The 15,300-nt window shown below is 37.9% G+C and overlaps 1 protein-coding gene across 43 annotated transcripts in view, besides 1 other annotated feature; it reads right to left on the bottom strand.

The window, feature by feature from the left end:
- Window positions 1-15,300, bottom strand: part of ANK2 (ankyrin 2) — a 678,115-nt gene that overhangs the window by 411,323 nt on the left and 251,492 nt on the right. The gene's annotated exons all lie outside the window — the stretch shown is intronic.
- Window positions 13,671-14,338: an enhancer, noted in NCBI's record as "H3K27ac-H3K4me1 hESC enhancer chr4:113879232-113879899 (GRCh37/hg19 assembly coordinates)". NCBI's record gives its function as "activates a minimal SCP1, AML or CMV promoter by ChIP-STARR-seq in primed H9 embryonic stem cells {active_cell/tissue: H9 hESC(primed)}" and the evidence as "EXISTENCE:reporter gene assay evidence [ECO:0000049][PMID:30033119]".

Raw genomic sequence — 15,300 nt, 5'->3', positions numbered from 1 at the left:
AATTGCAGTGATCACATGGACACAGGGAAGGGAACATCACACACCGGGGCCTGTTGAGGGGTGAGGGGCAAAGGGAGGGAGAGCATTAGGACAAATACCTAATGCATGCAGGGCTTAAAACCTAGATGATTGGTTGATAGGTGTGGCAAACCACCATGGCACATGTAGACCTATGTAACAAACCTGCACATTCTGTACATGTATCCTGGAAGTTAAAGTAAAATAAAAAATAATAATAATTACAGTGATCACAATAGCATCTACAGTCTATTGGACACTGACTTTATACCAAGCACTATGCTACATACATTTTAAATATCAATTTATTTTTCTTGCCCTTGCAAGACCACTCCTCCTCCCTTAACACTACCCTTGGCAGAATTGTAAAAGGGGCCCACCAATCCTTGAGTGATTCTTGTACATCTCTTTGATAATGAATAATTGCCAGAGATGGTTCAAGTAGGTGCATCTTAAAGTCAGATAATTATCTTGTGCTCACTTTTTTCTCACTCTACCATTGCCTCACTGGAATCATTTTCCCTGGGTGGATTTTAATGTTATGTCTGAGTCTTTCATCATAGGGTACGTTGAGGAAATAGCCCTATGACATCTGTTACTGCACCTGCCAGAAGGCTGTTTTTGAGGACCATGGCGTGTGTAATTCCAAGTCCCTGTCCCTCCACCCCCAATATGAAGCTCCTCAAGATAAACTTGTCTTTCTCTTAAAAGAAAAAATGTTCCTTTGCTGAAGGAACCAATGTATTTCTTCTTTCCAACAAAGGAACCAATGTATTTCTTCTTTCCAACCATAAAGACTTCTAGCCTTTTATATATTCTATTCACTTTGCCTGCCAGAAAATTCACAACACTTTTCAAACAGCAATTACAATATGCCCTTATAGCCTACGTACTTATGTTCTATTTTCCATATTGGTCTTGGTTCCTCACACTAATTTTGTATTATTTCTCAGAAAAATTGTCTGAATCTCGGAAATAGGCAAATGAGATTACTAGGTATGCTTTTAGTGCAGTGCTGGGCTTAACTTTTACTTAGTGGCTGTTTACAACTCAGTTGGGACAGAGGTTACCTTGTAGATTTTTTGCAGTAGAAATGCGAATAAAGTCTGTCTGCTGGAACCTAAGGTATGCTTTATGGCTCTGTTGGGCATTAACCAATTTTACATCTAATTCAGCAATAATAAGTTGCAATAAATCTAATACAAATCAAGTGCTCTTTGGACCAGTTTTTAACATTTTGCTGGTTCCTCATCAATTAATAAAATAAATAAAATTTGTGACGTGTTCATTTTAAATTTTCATGAGTCAGCTTTTTCCCTTTTTAAAAGTATTCTTTAAGATATTTTATGTAATCATGATTTTTATTTCCCATTTATATTTTCCCCTTTTACCTGTATTTTAAATTAATTTTTAATTGATGAATAAAAATTGTATATATTTATGATGTGCAACATGATGTTTTGAAATATTATGCATTGTGGAATGGCTAAATCAAGCTAATTGACATATGCATTACCACATATACTTATCATTTTTTTAGTGGGACACTTAAAATCTACTATTTTCCTGATTTTCAAGTATACAATACATCGTTATTAGCTATAAGCATCATATTCTACAAGTTCTAGATCCCTTGAACTTCTTCATCTGTCTAACTGAAATTTTGTACTTTTGACCAAAATCTACCCACTCTCCCCACCATTAAATAGATATAGATATATATGTGTATATATAGTTATAAGCTGCCCTGAAACATTTGTAGAATAAACCTATGTAGAAATAAATTAAAAGAAGCAGGCAGATTACAAGGTCAGGAGCTCGAGACAAGCCTGGCCAATATGATGAAACCCAATCTCTACTAAAAAATACAAAAATTAGCTGGGCATGGTGGTGCACACCTGTAATCCCAGCTACTCGGGAGGCTGAGGCAGGAGAATTGCTTGAAGCCGGGAGGCAGAGGTTGCAGTGAGCCAAGATTGCACCACTGCACTCCAGCCTGGGTGATGGAATGAGACTACATCTTTAAAATAATTAATTAATTAATTAATTAGTTAAAATGAAATTACATATATGAGCATGTATGTGACAGCACCAAACAAATATGTTACTCTTAAATTTATATGTCTTGCCAGGCATGGTGGCTCATGCCTGTAATCCCAGCACATTGGGAGGCCGAGGCAGGCAGAGTTCGAGATCAGCCTGGCCAACATGGTGAAACCCCGTCTCTACTAAAAATACAAAAAAATTAAACTGGTGTGGTGGCAGGCGCCTGTAATCCCAGCTACTTGGGAGGCTGAGGTAGGAGAATTGCTTGAACCTGGGAGGCGGCGGTTGCAGTGAGCCGAGATAGCACCATCGCACTCCAGCCTGGACGACAGAGTGAGACTCCGTCTCAAAAAAAAAAAATAATAAAATTATATGTCTCTAGATTAACAGTATTGTTACATAAAACAATATATATGACAGGGGCCTGCATCAAAAACTGTTTGGAATTAGATATTAGTCTTTTCATGCTTTTCACTAGTGAGACTAAAGTACTCCTACAGAGCTCAGCTTACATATGAGAAAATATAATACATATTATCAAATATAAAAGGAGATTGCTGAATAACTGTTATCCATATCTACCACGGACAGAACAAGAAGATATTGGCTCACTCTACAGCACAAATTTGGGTTAGATGTAAGAATGAATATTCTATAAACAAGATATCCTAAAATATTTTGAAAAACTGGCTAGATATGGTTTGCTTGAGTTTTTCTCCTCCATGCTATCCAATTCCTATTCTGCCACTTCGGAGCATTGGTCTCAAGCTCAGAACACAACCACCTCTTCCCCCTTTTCACTCTTTTCCTCCCTAGTCTTCATTTTCTTTAAGCCTTCCCTGGAGAGTCTGAACTTGTAGAAGCAGCAAAAGGTGTCAACATTAAAGTCCGGGGGGAAGCCAATGGCATAAATCAGAGAGGAAGGCGGAAGATAAAAACTAAAGAGAGAAATTTGGAAGTAAGGGAAAATTGCGGACTAGGCCAACCTACATGAATGCCTGTAGATAGGTAGTCAGCAAATGGCAGACTCTTCCTCAAGAGAAACGAGATGTTGCAAATCCAGGAAAAAGAGTGTTCAGGGAATATCTATGGGCTTTAAAACTAAGTGGAACTGCAAGTAATTCTTATTAACAGAGTTAGTGTGGATTCAAAAAGAGCTCCAGTGCCTAGGGTCTGAAGGGTTTAGATACCATCATTCATTAACTATAAATAAAGCCTTTGGAAAATACCTCCTAGAACCTCAGTGTTCTCATCAGTAGAATATAGGTAATAACATCTACCTTGCAAAATTATGTTGAGGATTAGACAACATATACAAGGCCCTCAGCATAGTTACTGGACTATACACAGGGCTAGCTGAATAATTCTGATGTGTAATTTTTAGTAAGGAAGTGAGTCACTCTGAACTGAGACTTTGGGGATGAATCTGAGGCCAAGACACAAAAAGACCTTGTTTCTCTAGGGATCTATTACCAAATTAAAATGGTATAAACAATCAATAAAATCAGTATAAGTAGAGAAATGAACAACTATAGGGCAAGTAAAAATATTAAATTCTCCAGAACAGACTGTTCAATGATTTAACCCTATGCTAAGTTCATTAAATAATGAAGAATTGTGTCCCTATATAGAAATGGCAAATAATTTCTAATTTGGGATTCCCTCACATTGTAGTAAAAGCTGCTGTGAATGTTATAATGGTGGTTGCTATGGGCAACAGCAGTCACAATGTGGGAAAAGAGAAGGGAGAAAGAGAAAAAAAAACAAAAAGCAATGATTCTACAGGGAATGTGCCTTTGCAAAAACCCTACATCCTCACCCCTTTATTCTTAATTTTGGTGGCAGGATAAATTTACCAGAGACAACTGGAAGAAAAAATCTGGCCCAGAGTTCCATGAACAATTCATTCTTCAACCAAAGACTGGCTCTTTTCTCTGGGATGGCCATCATCTTCAGCCAAGGGTGTGGCATAGGTGAGATGAGATGGGAAATGGCACTGTCCAGCTGGTTGGACGGGCCTGGTCCATGGGGAGTGACAGATGTCCGAGCCAGAGACCCAACATCTGAAAGAAAGTCTGTGGCTGCGAAGATCAATGCATCTGAACATTATTCAGCGGTACCACCACCTCTTTGAACCCTGTGCAGTAAGTAATACAGATCTCAGTTCAAGAATTATACTAACCTGCTAATAATTAATGGTTCATTGGAAAGTCCTTCAAATGAATAAGCAATTGAAAAAAAGTTCAATGCTTCTGAAAGTTACACATTCCATGATTGGGCAAATCTCCCTGGAATAAAAAAGGTGAGAGGTTGGGGGAAAAAACATAAAAATCATCTAATTTTACCAACTAGTGGAAGTAATCAACTATCAAATACCAGGAAAAAAGATGTCTGTATGGTATATGAAATGGGTCAATCAGGAGATTTTTCTTTATGAAGGACGATGGATTCCACAGTCTTCCTTGATATATTCACAGGCTTTTTGTCTTTTCAACTCAAGCTGAGAGGGGAAATGATTAAATATTAAAATAAGCAAGCTGCTATCTCTCTGTTTCTGCCACCCACACTAACAATTTTGCATTCAAGATCTGTCTGAGTGTGATTAAAGAGCTAAAAATGAAGGATCCAGCTAAAATAAAAACTGATATAACATCAAAAATATACGGATTTGACAGGATTTTTTTAAAGAAGACATTCAATCATTTAACGCTTTTGACTTACTACAAATTTTTGCTACACCTCTGATAACTTTGTTTTCACACCTTTGGAAAAGTATACATCATTTCAGTAACCCTTTTCACAGATTTTTTTAAAAGATAAAAGCCAGATAACAATGGGCCATTTTTATCATTTAAGTTACTATTTTGATTATCGAACAATGGAAAAATACTTCTGAAGCTCTAAACTAAATGGTGGTGAGGGAAAAGGTTATTACGCTGGGCTCTGCCGCTGCAAGTTTCAGCTCTGGCACATGATTATGTAACTTGGGAAAGTAGTTTAACTTCCTTCAGCATCATTTTGCTCACTTGTAAAAGGAAAGATTTAGATTAGTTTAATCTTGACTTTTGGCTTCCAGCCCCAGGAAGGCACAAGAGCTAATCCAGTCTTTATGCCTGCCAAGGGGGAGCCAAGATCATATACACAGTCTCACAAATCGCACCCTCCTCAATGGTGCAGATGACACTACATTTACTTCTTTACTTGGAACTCAGTACAACACCATCATATTTCAGGATTAAAAATTAATAAGGATTTATTTCATCAAGGGATCAACTGAGAAAATTTCTAAATTCTCTATAGAGAATATATTTTCTCCTACTACTCTGAACTGCTTAATGTGTCCTAAGGACACCCCAAAATCACTCTTATACCAAAGGAACCAGCAATTTGCTTGACATGCTCCCCCCAAGGCCCTCATCAAGCTTTCTTACATTTATTGACAGTGCTCGCTCAAGCTGAAAATGAGATTTGACCATTCTGAAAGGAGAGGGTCAGAAGGAGTAATACCATATTTAATAAGATTTAACAGCATTTTATGCATTGTCAATCAAACATCATAGATCAAGATTTTTTTAACATTTAAAACAACTTCCTAATAGGTTTTAAAAAGGCTTATATAGAATATCTTTTCTATATCCATGATCTTACATATGATTATGGTTGTGATATCTAAATATAGACACCTTTAATTCTCTAAAAATCTATTCTAGGTACAAAAATGTTCACCATAACACTACTTAAAATGGAAAAAAAAGTGACACTGATAAAGGAATACTTTCTGAGAACAGTTACAAACGTGAAGAAACTCTTATTATAGAATTAAGTTAAAAGATTAATTTTTATATATGATTTTAAATTGCTTTTAAAAAGTATGTGTATACACACACACACACTTACTCATTTGAAAAGAACTGGAAAGAAAAACAAAACATTAACAGTATTTACCATGATTAATGCAAATAATTTTCTAAATGTTCTGCTAGTATTATGAATTACTTTTATAATGAAAAATATATATATTAAAAGAGTTATGCTCGAATTGCATAAACAAGAATTATTTTAGTATATTTCAATTTTTTAATGAGATATAATCTTTTACGAGTGTTAGAAGATATCAATTTAATCAAACATTTATAATGTAATTTGGATTTATAGTATAAATGTTCACAAAGAAAAGGAAACATGTCATAGTTTCTTTCTGAAGTAGTTTGAATCCTAATTGATGCAGATTGTTAAATTATTATAATTGAAGATGTTTATAGATTTAGATTTTTTAAAGTTCTACACCTAACAATGTGAAAATATAGCCTTATTTAAATATGTTAAATTAAGTTTTTCTAAATTTAAAAGTATCATTAAAATACTTTTATGTCTTGCAACATTTGTTTCTATTAAAAAATTATTTTATAATTTTATAAAATCAGGCAATAAGTATTCTTATAATATAAAATACATAAAATAGTTAGAATATAGAATTACATTGTTTGCTATAACCAGAATATTATAACCAATCAGAATGTGATTCGAAATATCATCGAGAATAGAGAACCCAAAAACAAATTCATACACCTACAGTGAATTCATTTTCAACAAAGGTGCCAAGAACATATATTAAAGAAATGACAGTCTCTTTAATAAATGTTGCTGGGAAAACTGGATATCAATATGCAGAAGAATGAAACTTGATCCCTATCTCTCACCATATATGAAAATCAATTCAAAGTAGATTAAAGGCTTAAATCTCAGACCTCATACTACAAAACTACTATAAGAAAACACTGGAGAAACTTTCCAGGACATTGGTCTGAGCAAAATTTTTTGACTAATGCCCCACAAATACAGGCAACCAAATGGAATCACGTCAAGTTAAAAACAATCAACAAAGTGAAGAGACAATCCACAGGACGGGAGAAAATATTTGCAAACTACTTACCTTACAAGAGATTAATAACCAGAATATACAAGGAGCTCAAACAACTCTATAGGAAAAAAAAATCTAATCATCTGATTTTAAAATAGACAAAATAATTGAATAGACATTTCTCAAAAGAAGACATACAAATGGCAAACAGGCATATGAAAAGGTGTGCAACATCATTGATCATCAGAGAAATGCAAATCGAAACTACAATGAGATATACTCTCACCCAGGTTAAAATGGTTTTTATCCAAAAGAGAGGCAATGACAAACGCTAGCAAGGATGTGGAGAAAAGGGAATCTTAATATACTATTGACAAAAATGTAAATTTGTATAATCACTATGGAAAATAGTTTGGAGGTTCCTCAAAAAATTAAAACTAGAGTTACCATATGATCCAGCAACCCCACTGCTGGGTATATACCCCCAAAGAAAGGAAATCAGTGTATTGAAGAGATATCTGCTCTCTGGTGTTTGTTACGGTACTGTTCACAATAGCCAAGATTTGGAAGCAACCTAAGTGTCAATCAACAGATTAATGGACAAAGAAAATGTGGTACATGGCCGGGCGCGGTGGCTCACGCCTGTAATACCAGCACTTTGGGAGGCTGAGGCAGGCAGATCACGAGGTCATGAGATCGAGACCATCCTGGCTAACACAGTGAAACCCCGTCTCTACTAAAAATACAAAAAATTAGCCAGGCGTGGTGGCGGGCGCCTGTAGTCCCAGCTACTCGGTAGGCTGAGGCAGGAGAATGGCGTGAACCTGGAAGGTGGAGGTTGCAGTGAGCTGAGATGTGCCACTGCACTCCAGCCTGGGCAACAGAGCGAGACTCTGTCTCAAAAAAAAAAAAAAAGAAAAAAGAAAAGAAAATGTGGTACATATACAAAAAGGAGTACTACGCAGCCATAAAAAAGAATGAGATTCAGTCATTTGCAACAACCTGGATGGAACTGGAGGTCATTATGCTAAGTGAAATGTCATACACAGAAAGACAAACTTTTCAGGTGCTCACTTATTTGTGGATGTTAAAAATCAAAACAGTGGAACTCATGGAGACAGAGAGTAGAAGAATTGTTACCAGCAGCTGGGAAGGGTAGTGGGGGTGAGGGTGGGGGAAGTGGGGATGGTTAATGGGTACAAAAAATAATTTAATTGTATATTTTTAAAGAACTAAAAGAGTATATTTGGATTGTTTGTGACACAAAGGATAAACGCTTGAGGGGATAGATGCCTCACTTTTCATGATGTGATTATTGCTTACTGCATGCCTGTATCAAAGTATCTCGTGTGCCCCATAAATGTACACACCACCTATGTACCCACAAAAAATTTTAAAACCTTAAAAATTTTAAAAAGGAAATATCATCTGGAAATAATAGGGTGGTAAAAATTGAAAAAGTCATGTTTTATTATAAATAACATAAGAATTCAATAATAGGGATATAGTCAAATAATAATAAAATGTAACCATTAACATAATGTATGACTATATACAATCATGGAAGTGGCTACAGGACTCAGTAACTATAAATAGTTGGCTACCGTAAATAATAGAAATAAATTCTCTTAGTATGTTGGTGTTATTTTTATTAAATTTCCACTTTGTGTTTCAAAATAATGTTAGATGTTTTGAATTATAATTGTCTCATTCTTACAAATAATTACATTTTATAGAGACTTGGTTCAGCGTTTATATTTTATCAATATTATTATAACCTATATTTTTCCCTGAAGGAACTATGTAAGAATTTAGCAAATGCTTTATTATTCCCATTTTATAGAAGCACCCATCAAGACTGAAAAATATCATGAAGAGAAATAGTGATTCACTTGGAAAAAAAATTCAGTCTGCCCCTTCTCAAGACACGTGCTACTGTCCAAGAGCTACTCTACTGTGGTCCATGGATTATTTTTACTTATCAAAATTTTGAACCAATAAATTATTTCTGTAATTTCAAGAATGACTACAATCTAAGTAATCTTACCAAACCCACTCAACCTAAGAGCTGTAATTACCTTTGATGCTATGCTGTTTTGACTATTAGAGGTTGGTAGGCAATAATAGATGCATGAAACAGATTGAGTTCCCAGAAAAGAATGTTTTTGCCTTGTACATTATTAAGCTCTAAAGGTGTAAATGGCTTTAGTATCATCAAGATCATTAAAAATTAAGAGTCAACCAAGAAAAACCAACAAGTATTTGGAAACACACTTGGCTTTGAAAGAGAAAGAATTATATCAAAATACATTCTCATATTGCTTTCAGAGAAGGGAAAAGCTTGAAATCACTTAGAAGGCTGAACCATATCACCACGACAATGGGGTCAGAACTAACTGAATCTAAAGGAACATGTCACCATCTATTTAAATATTTCTTCTAAATAATTGACTATTAAGCAGTATTTCAAAAATTAAGTGATGGAAAAAGTATATAATCAGTAAATATTCATGTATTAGCTGAAAAAATCTGAGATATAAATAAATATAACACTTGATCACACAAATGATTAGCAGGAATCTACTGGAGATTCCCAGAGAAAATAATTTCCCTTATACAGCTGAATGGCTCCATACCAAAATTTAACTCTAATTAAGGTTTAATGAAATCATGTCATTCTACTCTTGCCATAAGTCAGTGATTCTTAAAAGCTTTTAAAAACACAGATACTAAAGTCCTCTCCCTATAGCTTCTGACTTATTAGGCTTGGTGGTAGGGCTTAAGCATATGTTTTCTTAATAAATTCCCATTGAACACTTATGCGCTGTTAGTGGGAATATGGATTAGTTTAGACACTGTAGAGAGCAGTTTGGAGATTTCTAAAAGGACTTAAAACAGAGCTAATATTCAACCCAGCAATCCCATTACTGGGTACATACCCAAAGGAAAATAGATCAGTATACCAAAAAGATACATGCACTTTTATGTTCATGGCTGCACTATTCACAATAGCAAAGATATGGAGTCAACCTAGGTGGCCATCAACAGTGGATTGGATAAAGAAAATGTGGTACATATACACCATGGAATACTTCACAGATATAAAAAGAATAACATCATGTCCCTTGTAGCAACATGGATGGAGATGGAGCCCATAATCCTAAGTGAATCAGCATAGGCAAAGAAAATCAACTACTGCATGTTCTCACTTATAAGTGAGAGCTAAACATTGACTACTCATGGACATAGACACGGGAACAATAGACACTGCAGACTACTAGAGGGTAGAGAGAGGGAAGTATGGGTTGAAAAATTAACCAATTGAGTACTATCCTCACAGCTGAGTGCAATATATCCACATAACAAACCTGCATGTGTTATCTAAAATAAAAGTTGGAAAAACAAAGACAAAAATTAATAGAAACAAATAAATTCCCATTCTCTAAAAGTAACCAAAGTTTGAAGACCACAGACTAGATTAGAGATTCTTAACTCTGGCTGCACATTGTAGATCCTTTGGAAACTTGGAAAAATTCCTAGGCCCAGGCCCCATCCCAAACAAATTAAACAAATCAAATTAGAATCAAACAAATTAAATTAGAATCTTTGGAATCCAAGTATCATTATATTTTAGAGGTTTTCAAGTCATTATAATGGGCAGACAGGGTTGAGAACCACTGTAATTATTTTGACTTCTCACAAACTCAGCTCTGGTCATTATAGTCATATTAGCAATTTTCATCTGAAGATCTTCAACACAATAATTTAAAGGGAGAGAAAACTGCTAACTAAAAGTGGACCATTGACACATGGTCCAACAGCCCTAAACACAATGGGGGAAATGTAGCATGCTTTTATTCTGTTCATATAAGTCATAATCTGCAAAAAGCAAATGGTATTCTCCACCCATGGTATGCACGTTAAAGTCAAGTCCTGGTCTGTAGTATATTTTAATCTAAGGTATTTAAAACACATTAAAGAAATGAGGAATTTATTAAACACACACTTTTTCTTTCAGAAAAATATTCTGTCCTATATTCAGAATCTTTATTTATGTAGCTTTGTTTGGGCAATTTTGAAATAAAGAAAGGTTCTCTTTAGTAGTTATTTCTGAGATAGAAACAATAAATAATTGTTACTCTACACATAACTAAAAAAAATACCTTATATTCTCCTTTTCCTACCTATAATGAGAGTAGCATTCAATAGTTATGTTGTTATTGTTACACTGATATTTTTCTTAATCCAGAGATGCTTTCTTCCCACAGAAATCACTGCAGCTAGATCAGACACTTTCTATAGGCTGTCCACCCGGACAAGGAAATAGCTTTTCTTATTGAGCTCTTCTGCAGTGATATTTTTATAATGGAATTTTGTCTGTAACCTATTTGTCTCTATTAAGCCCACCAGTTTCAAAAAAAAAAAAAACAGTTATTTAGATAGTTTACAAAAACTAAAGAATTTTTAATATAGTTTAAAAACTAAAATTGCTACACAAGAATGACATGGAAATTGAGTACTGTAAATACCTTACAAGTCTGATTATTTGTAAAGTATCTGATTCAAGCCTTATGAAAAAACAAATAACTCTTCTAAACCTGGGTTTTATCTGTAAAATTGGAGTAATGATGCTATCTCTCAATATCCTCATAGGGATGTCATGAAGGTAAAAAGGGGAAAGGCAGATGAGGAAACTTGACAAGCCAATATATAAAATAAATTATCTTATTACTATGAAAACGCTGTAGTTGAGGAAAATGATGGTAAAATAAAATAGTTAATGTTAAGGATTATCACTAATTTATCATTTTAAAGAATAAATTTATTAAGAAAGCAGAGTTCATCTATTTTAACTCAATTTAATTTTCGTCTTGAATTAAATACAATCTAATTTGGGACATTGTGATGTGCCTGAAGTCGGAGACTAATAGTTTATTTTAAAATAAGGGAAGTTCTTGTTCTGATTCTTTAAAACAAACAGCAACAGAAAAACAAAACAGCGATTACATTTGAGAGCCAGAAAAACTTTGTAAGGAAATAGAAACTTTTTATATGCGTCTGGTATAATAATCAGATCACTTATGTTTGTCATTTTGAGTGGCTTTGGAAATTAGGTACCACAAGATTTAAAAAAAAAAAAAGGCAGACACTAATGCTGCTCTACCTCTGGTTTAGAATCCACCCTGCATACATGTCATCTAGAGTCATCCCATCTAGACAACCAGACCCCAAAAGAAGGTTGTGGACAATATATGAATATATGCAGGTCCTCCAGCCTAATGGCACCTCCCGATATTCCTGACACAGATGGGCTTTACGTTATCACAGTATGGTTTACTCAGAAGTTAGTCTGGGGGGTGCCATTCATCTGAGTTGTTTGGCTTGAATACACAAAAACTTTTGTCTCTACCTTGGCTATTTTAAATAAATTATTATTATTATCATTGCCACCACAGGAGACCACCACAATGATGGGCTCATCAGGATTTCCACTATGTACACTTTTTCTGGTTTCAAACTCTTTCAGCTGCTTAACATTCAATTAGGCTAAGCCTTGGCCTCTGGATTGCAGGAGCGTTTTGTCATTGTGGACAGTTCCGAGGCAGATTTCAAGAAGGGAGTTTCTCAAATTTGGCTGACAAAAAAATACTCCTCATGGGCCCAACAAGTGTCTGGAGCTGGGCTTGACAATTCTCTCAATCTTCTTAAGGTCTATTAGCTCACATTTCTTGTACTTCCACTCTTTAATCTTACTGCCAAGACTTCCATAGAAGCACCACTATTTATAAACATGAAAATTTGAGTATACATATATTCCTACACATCAATACATTTAAGGTAGGAATTCTGGTCATAAAAGGCAGTTATAATACAGGAAGAGAGTATCTCAAGTAAAATAAACTATTATATTATATACCTACCTATCACATGTGAGTGTTTCCCATAACCTATTCACAAAGTTCCCAAACCTTCACTTTTTAATCTTTACATCAATTCAATTAGGCAAACATTGATTAAAGCATCACAAATTTTAAAATAATTTTTAAAGCCCAAGGAGCACCCTTTTATCTGCGGGAGAGAGGAAGAAAGCAGGCACTGCTTCATTCAGAAAATAACACACCTTATAATGGAGCCTGTTTTGTTTTTGTTCTTGTTTTCAAAAAAAATCTGCTTCATTAAGGGTTAAGGTTCCACTCTGCATTTTCAATCTTTTTTTTTCCCCAACAAGATAACCTGTCTTATCTATTGGATACAATGTTCACTATTCCAGTGATGAGTACACTAAAAGCCCAGACTTTATGCCACTACCCAATATAAGCATATAATAAATCTGCTGTTGGCCAGGCGCGGTGGCTCACGTGTGTAATCCCAGCACTTTGGGAGGCCGAGGCGGGCGGATCACCTGAGGTCAGGAGTTCAAGACCAGCCTGGCCAACATGGTGAAACCCCGCCTCTACTAAAAATACAAAAAATCAGCCGGGCGTGGTGGCGGGCACCTGTAATCCCAGCTACTCAGGAGGCTGAGGCAGGAGAATTGCTGGAACCCAGGAGGCGGAAGTTGCAGTGAGCCAAGATCATGCCATCGCACTCCAGCCTGGGGGATAAGAGCAAGGCTTCATCACCAAAAAAAAAGAAAAAGAAATCTTCTCTTGTACCCCCAAAATAGATTTTTTTAAGATTTCAAATTTCAAAAGACAATCATTATCATTGAGAAGGAATAAACATTTGGTCCATATCTTAATAATGCATCATAACATGGTATTCAGGTAGAGTCAACTCAAAAAGGGTAACAAAAAATTGATTAACATGCAGTATTAAATCTTTAAAACAAGAGCAGCCCTCTCCCTCTCCCTCTCCCTCTCCCCCCTCTCCCTCTCCCCACGGTCTCCCTCTCCCTCTCTTTCCAAGGTCTCCCTCTGATGCCGAGCCGAAGCTGGACTGTACTGCTGCCATCTCGGCTCGCTGCAGCCTCCCTGCCTGATTCTCCTGCCTCAGCCTGCCGAGTGCCTGCGATTGCAGGCGCACGCCGCCACGCCTGGCTGTTTTTCGTATTTTTTTGGTGGAGATGGGGTTTCGCTGTGTTGGCCGGGCTGGTCTCCAGCTCCTAACCGCGAGTGATCCGCCAGCCTCGGCCTCCCGAGGTGCCGGGATTGCAGATGGAGTCTGGTTCACTCAGTGCTCAATGGTGCCCAGGCTGGAGTGCAATGGCGTGATCTCGGCTCGCTACAACCTCCACCTCCCAGCCGCCTGCCTTGGCCTCCAAAGTGCCGAGATTGCAGCCTCTGCCCGGCCGCCACCCCGTCTGGGAAGTGAGGAGCCTCTCTGCCTGGCCGCCCATCGTCTGGGACGTGAGGAGCCCCTCTGCCTGGCTGCCCAGTCTGGAAAGTGAGGAGCGTCTCTGCCCGGCCGCCATCCCATCTAGGAAGTGAGGAGCGCCTCTTCCCGGCCACCAACCCATCTAGGAAGTGAGGAGCGTCTCTGCCCCGCCGCCCATCGTCTGAGACGTGGGGAGCGCCTCTGCCCCGCCGCCCCGTCTGGGATGTGAGGAGCGCCTCTACCTGGCCGCGACCCCGTCTGGGAGGTGAGGAGCATCTCTGCCCGGCTGCCCCGTCTGAGAAGTGAGGAGACCCTCTGCCTGGCAACCGCCCCGTCTGAGAAGTGAGGAGCCCCTCCGCCCGGCAGCCGCCCCGTCTGAGAAGTGAGGAGCCCCTCCGCCCGGCAGCCACCCCGTCTGGGAAGTGAGGAGCGTCTCCGCCCGGCAGCCACCCCGTCCGGGAGGGAGGTGGGGGGGTCAGCCCCCCGCCCAGCCAGCCGCCCCGTCCGGGAGGGAGGTGGGGGGGTCAGCCCCCCGCCCGGCCAGCCGCCCCGTCCGGGAGGTGAGGGGCGCCTCTGCCCGGCCGCCCCTACTGGGAAGTGAGGAGCCCTTCTGCCCGGCCACCACCCCGTCTGGGAGGTGTACCCAACAGCTCATTGAGAACGGGCCATGATGACAATGGTGGTTTTGTGGAATAGAAAGGGGGGAAAGGCGGGGAAAAGATTGAGAAATCGGATGGTTGCTGTGTATGTGTAGAAAGAAGTAGACATGGGAGACTTTTCATTTTGTTCTGTACTAAGAAAAATTCTTCTGCCTTGTGATCCTGTTGATCTGTGATCTTACCCCTAACCCTGTGCTCTCTGAAACATGTGCTGTGTCCACTCAGGGTTAAATGGATTAAGGGTGGTGCAAGATGTGCTTTGTTAAACAGATGCTTGAAGGCAGCATGCTCGTTAAGAGTCATCACCACTCCCTAATCTCAAGTACCCAGGGACACAAACACTGCGGAAGGCCGCAGGGTCCTCTGCCTAGGAAAACCAGAGACCTTTGTTCACTTGTT

Source organism: Homo sapiens, chromosome 4 (assembly GCF_000001405.40).
Source record: "Homo sapiens chromosome 4, GRCh38.p14 Primary Assembly".
Classification (NCBI taxonomy): domain Eukaryota; kingdom Metazoa; phylum Chordata; class Mammalia; order Primates; family Hominidae; genus Homo; species Homo sapiens.
This window is presented reverse-complemented; position numbering and strand designations above follow the sequence as displayed.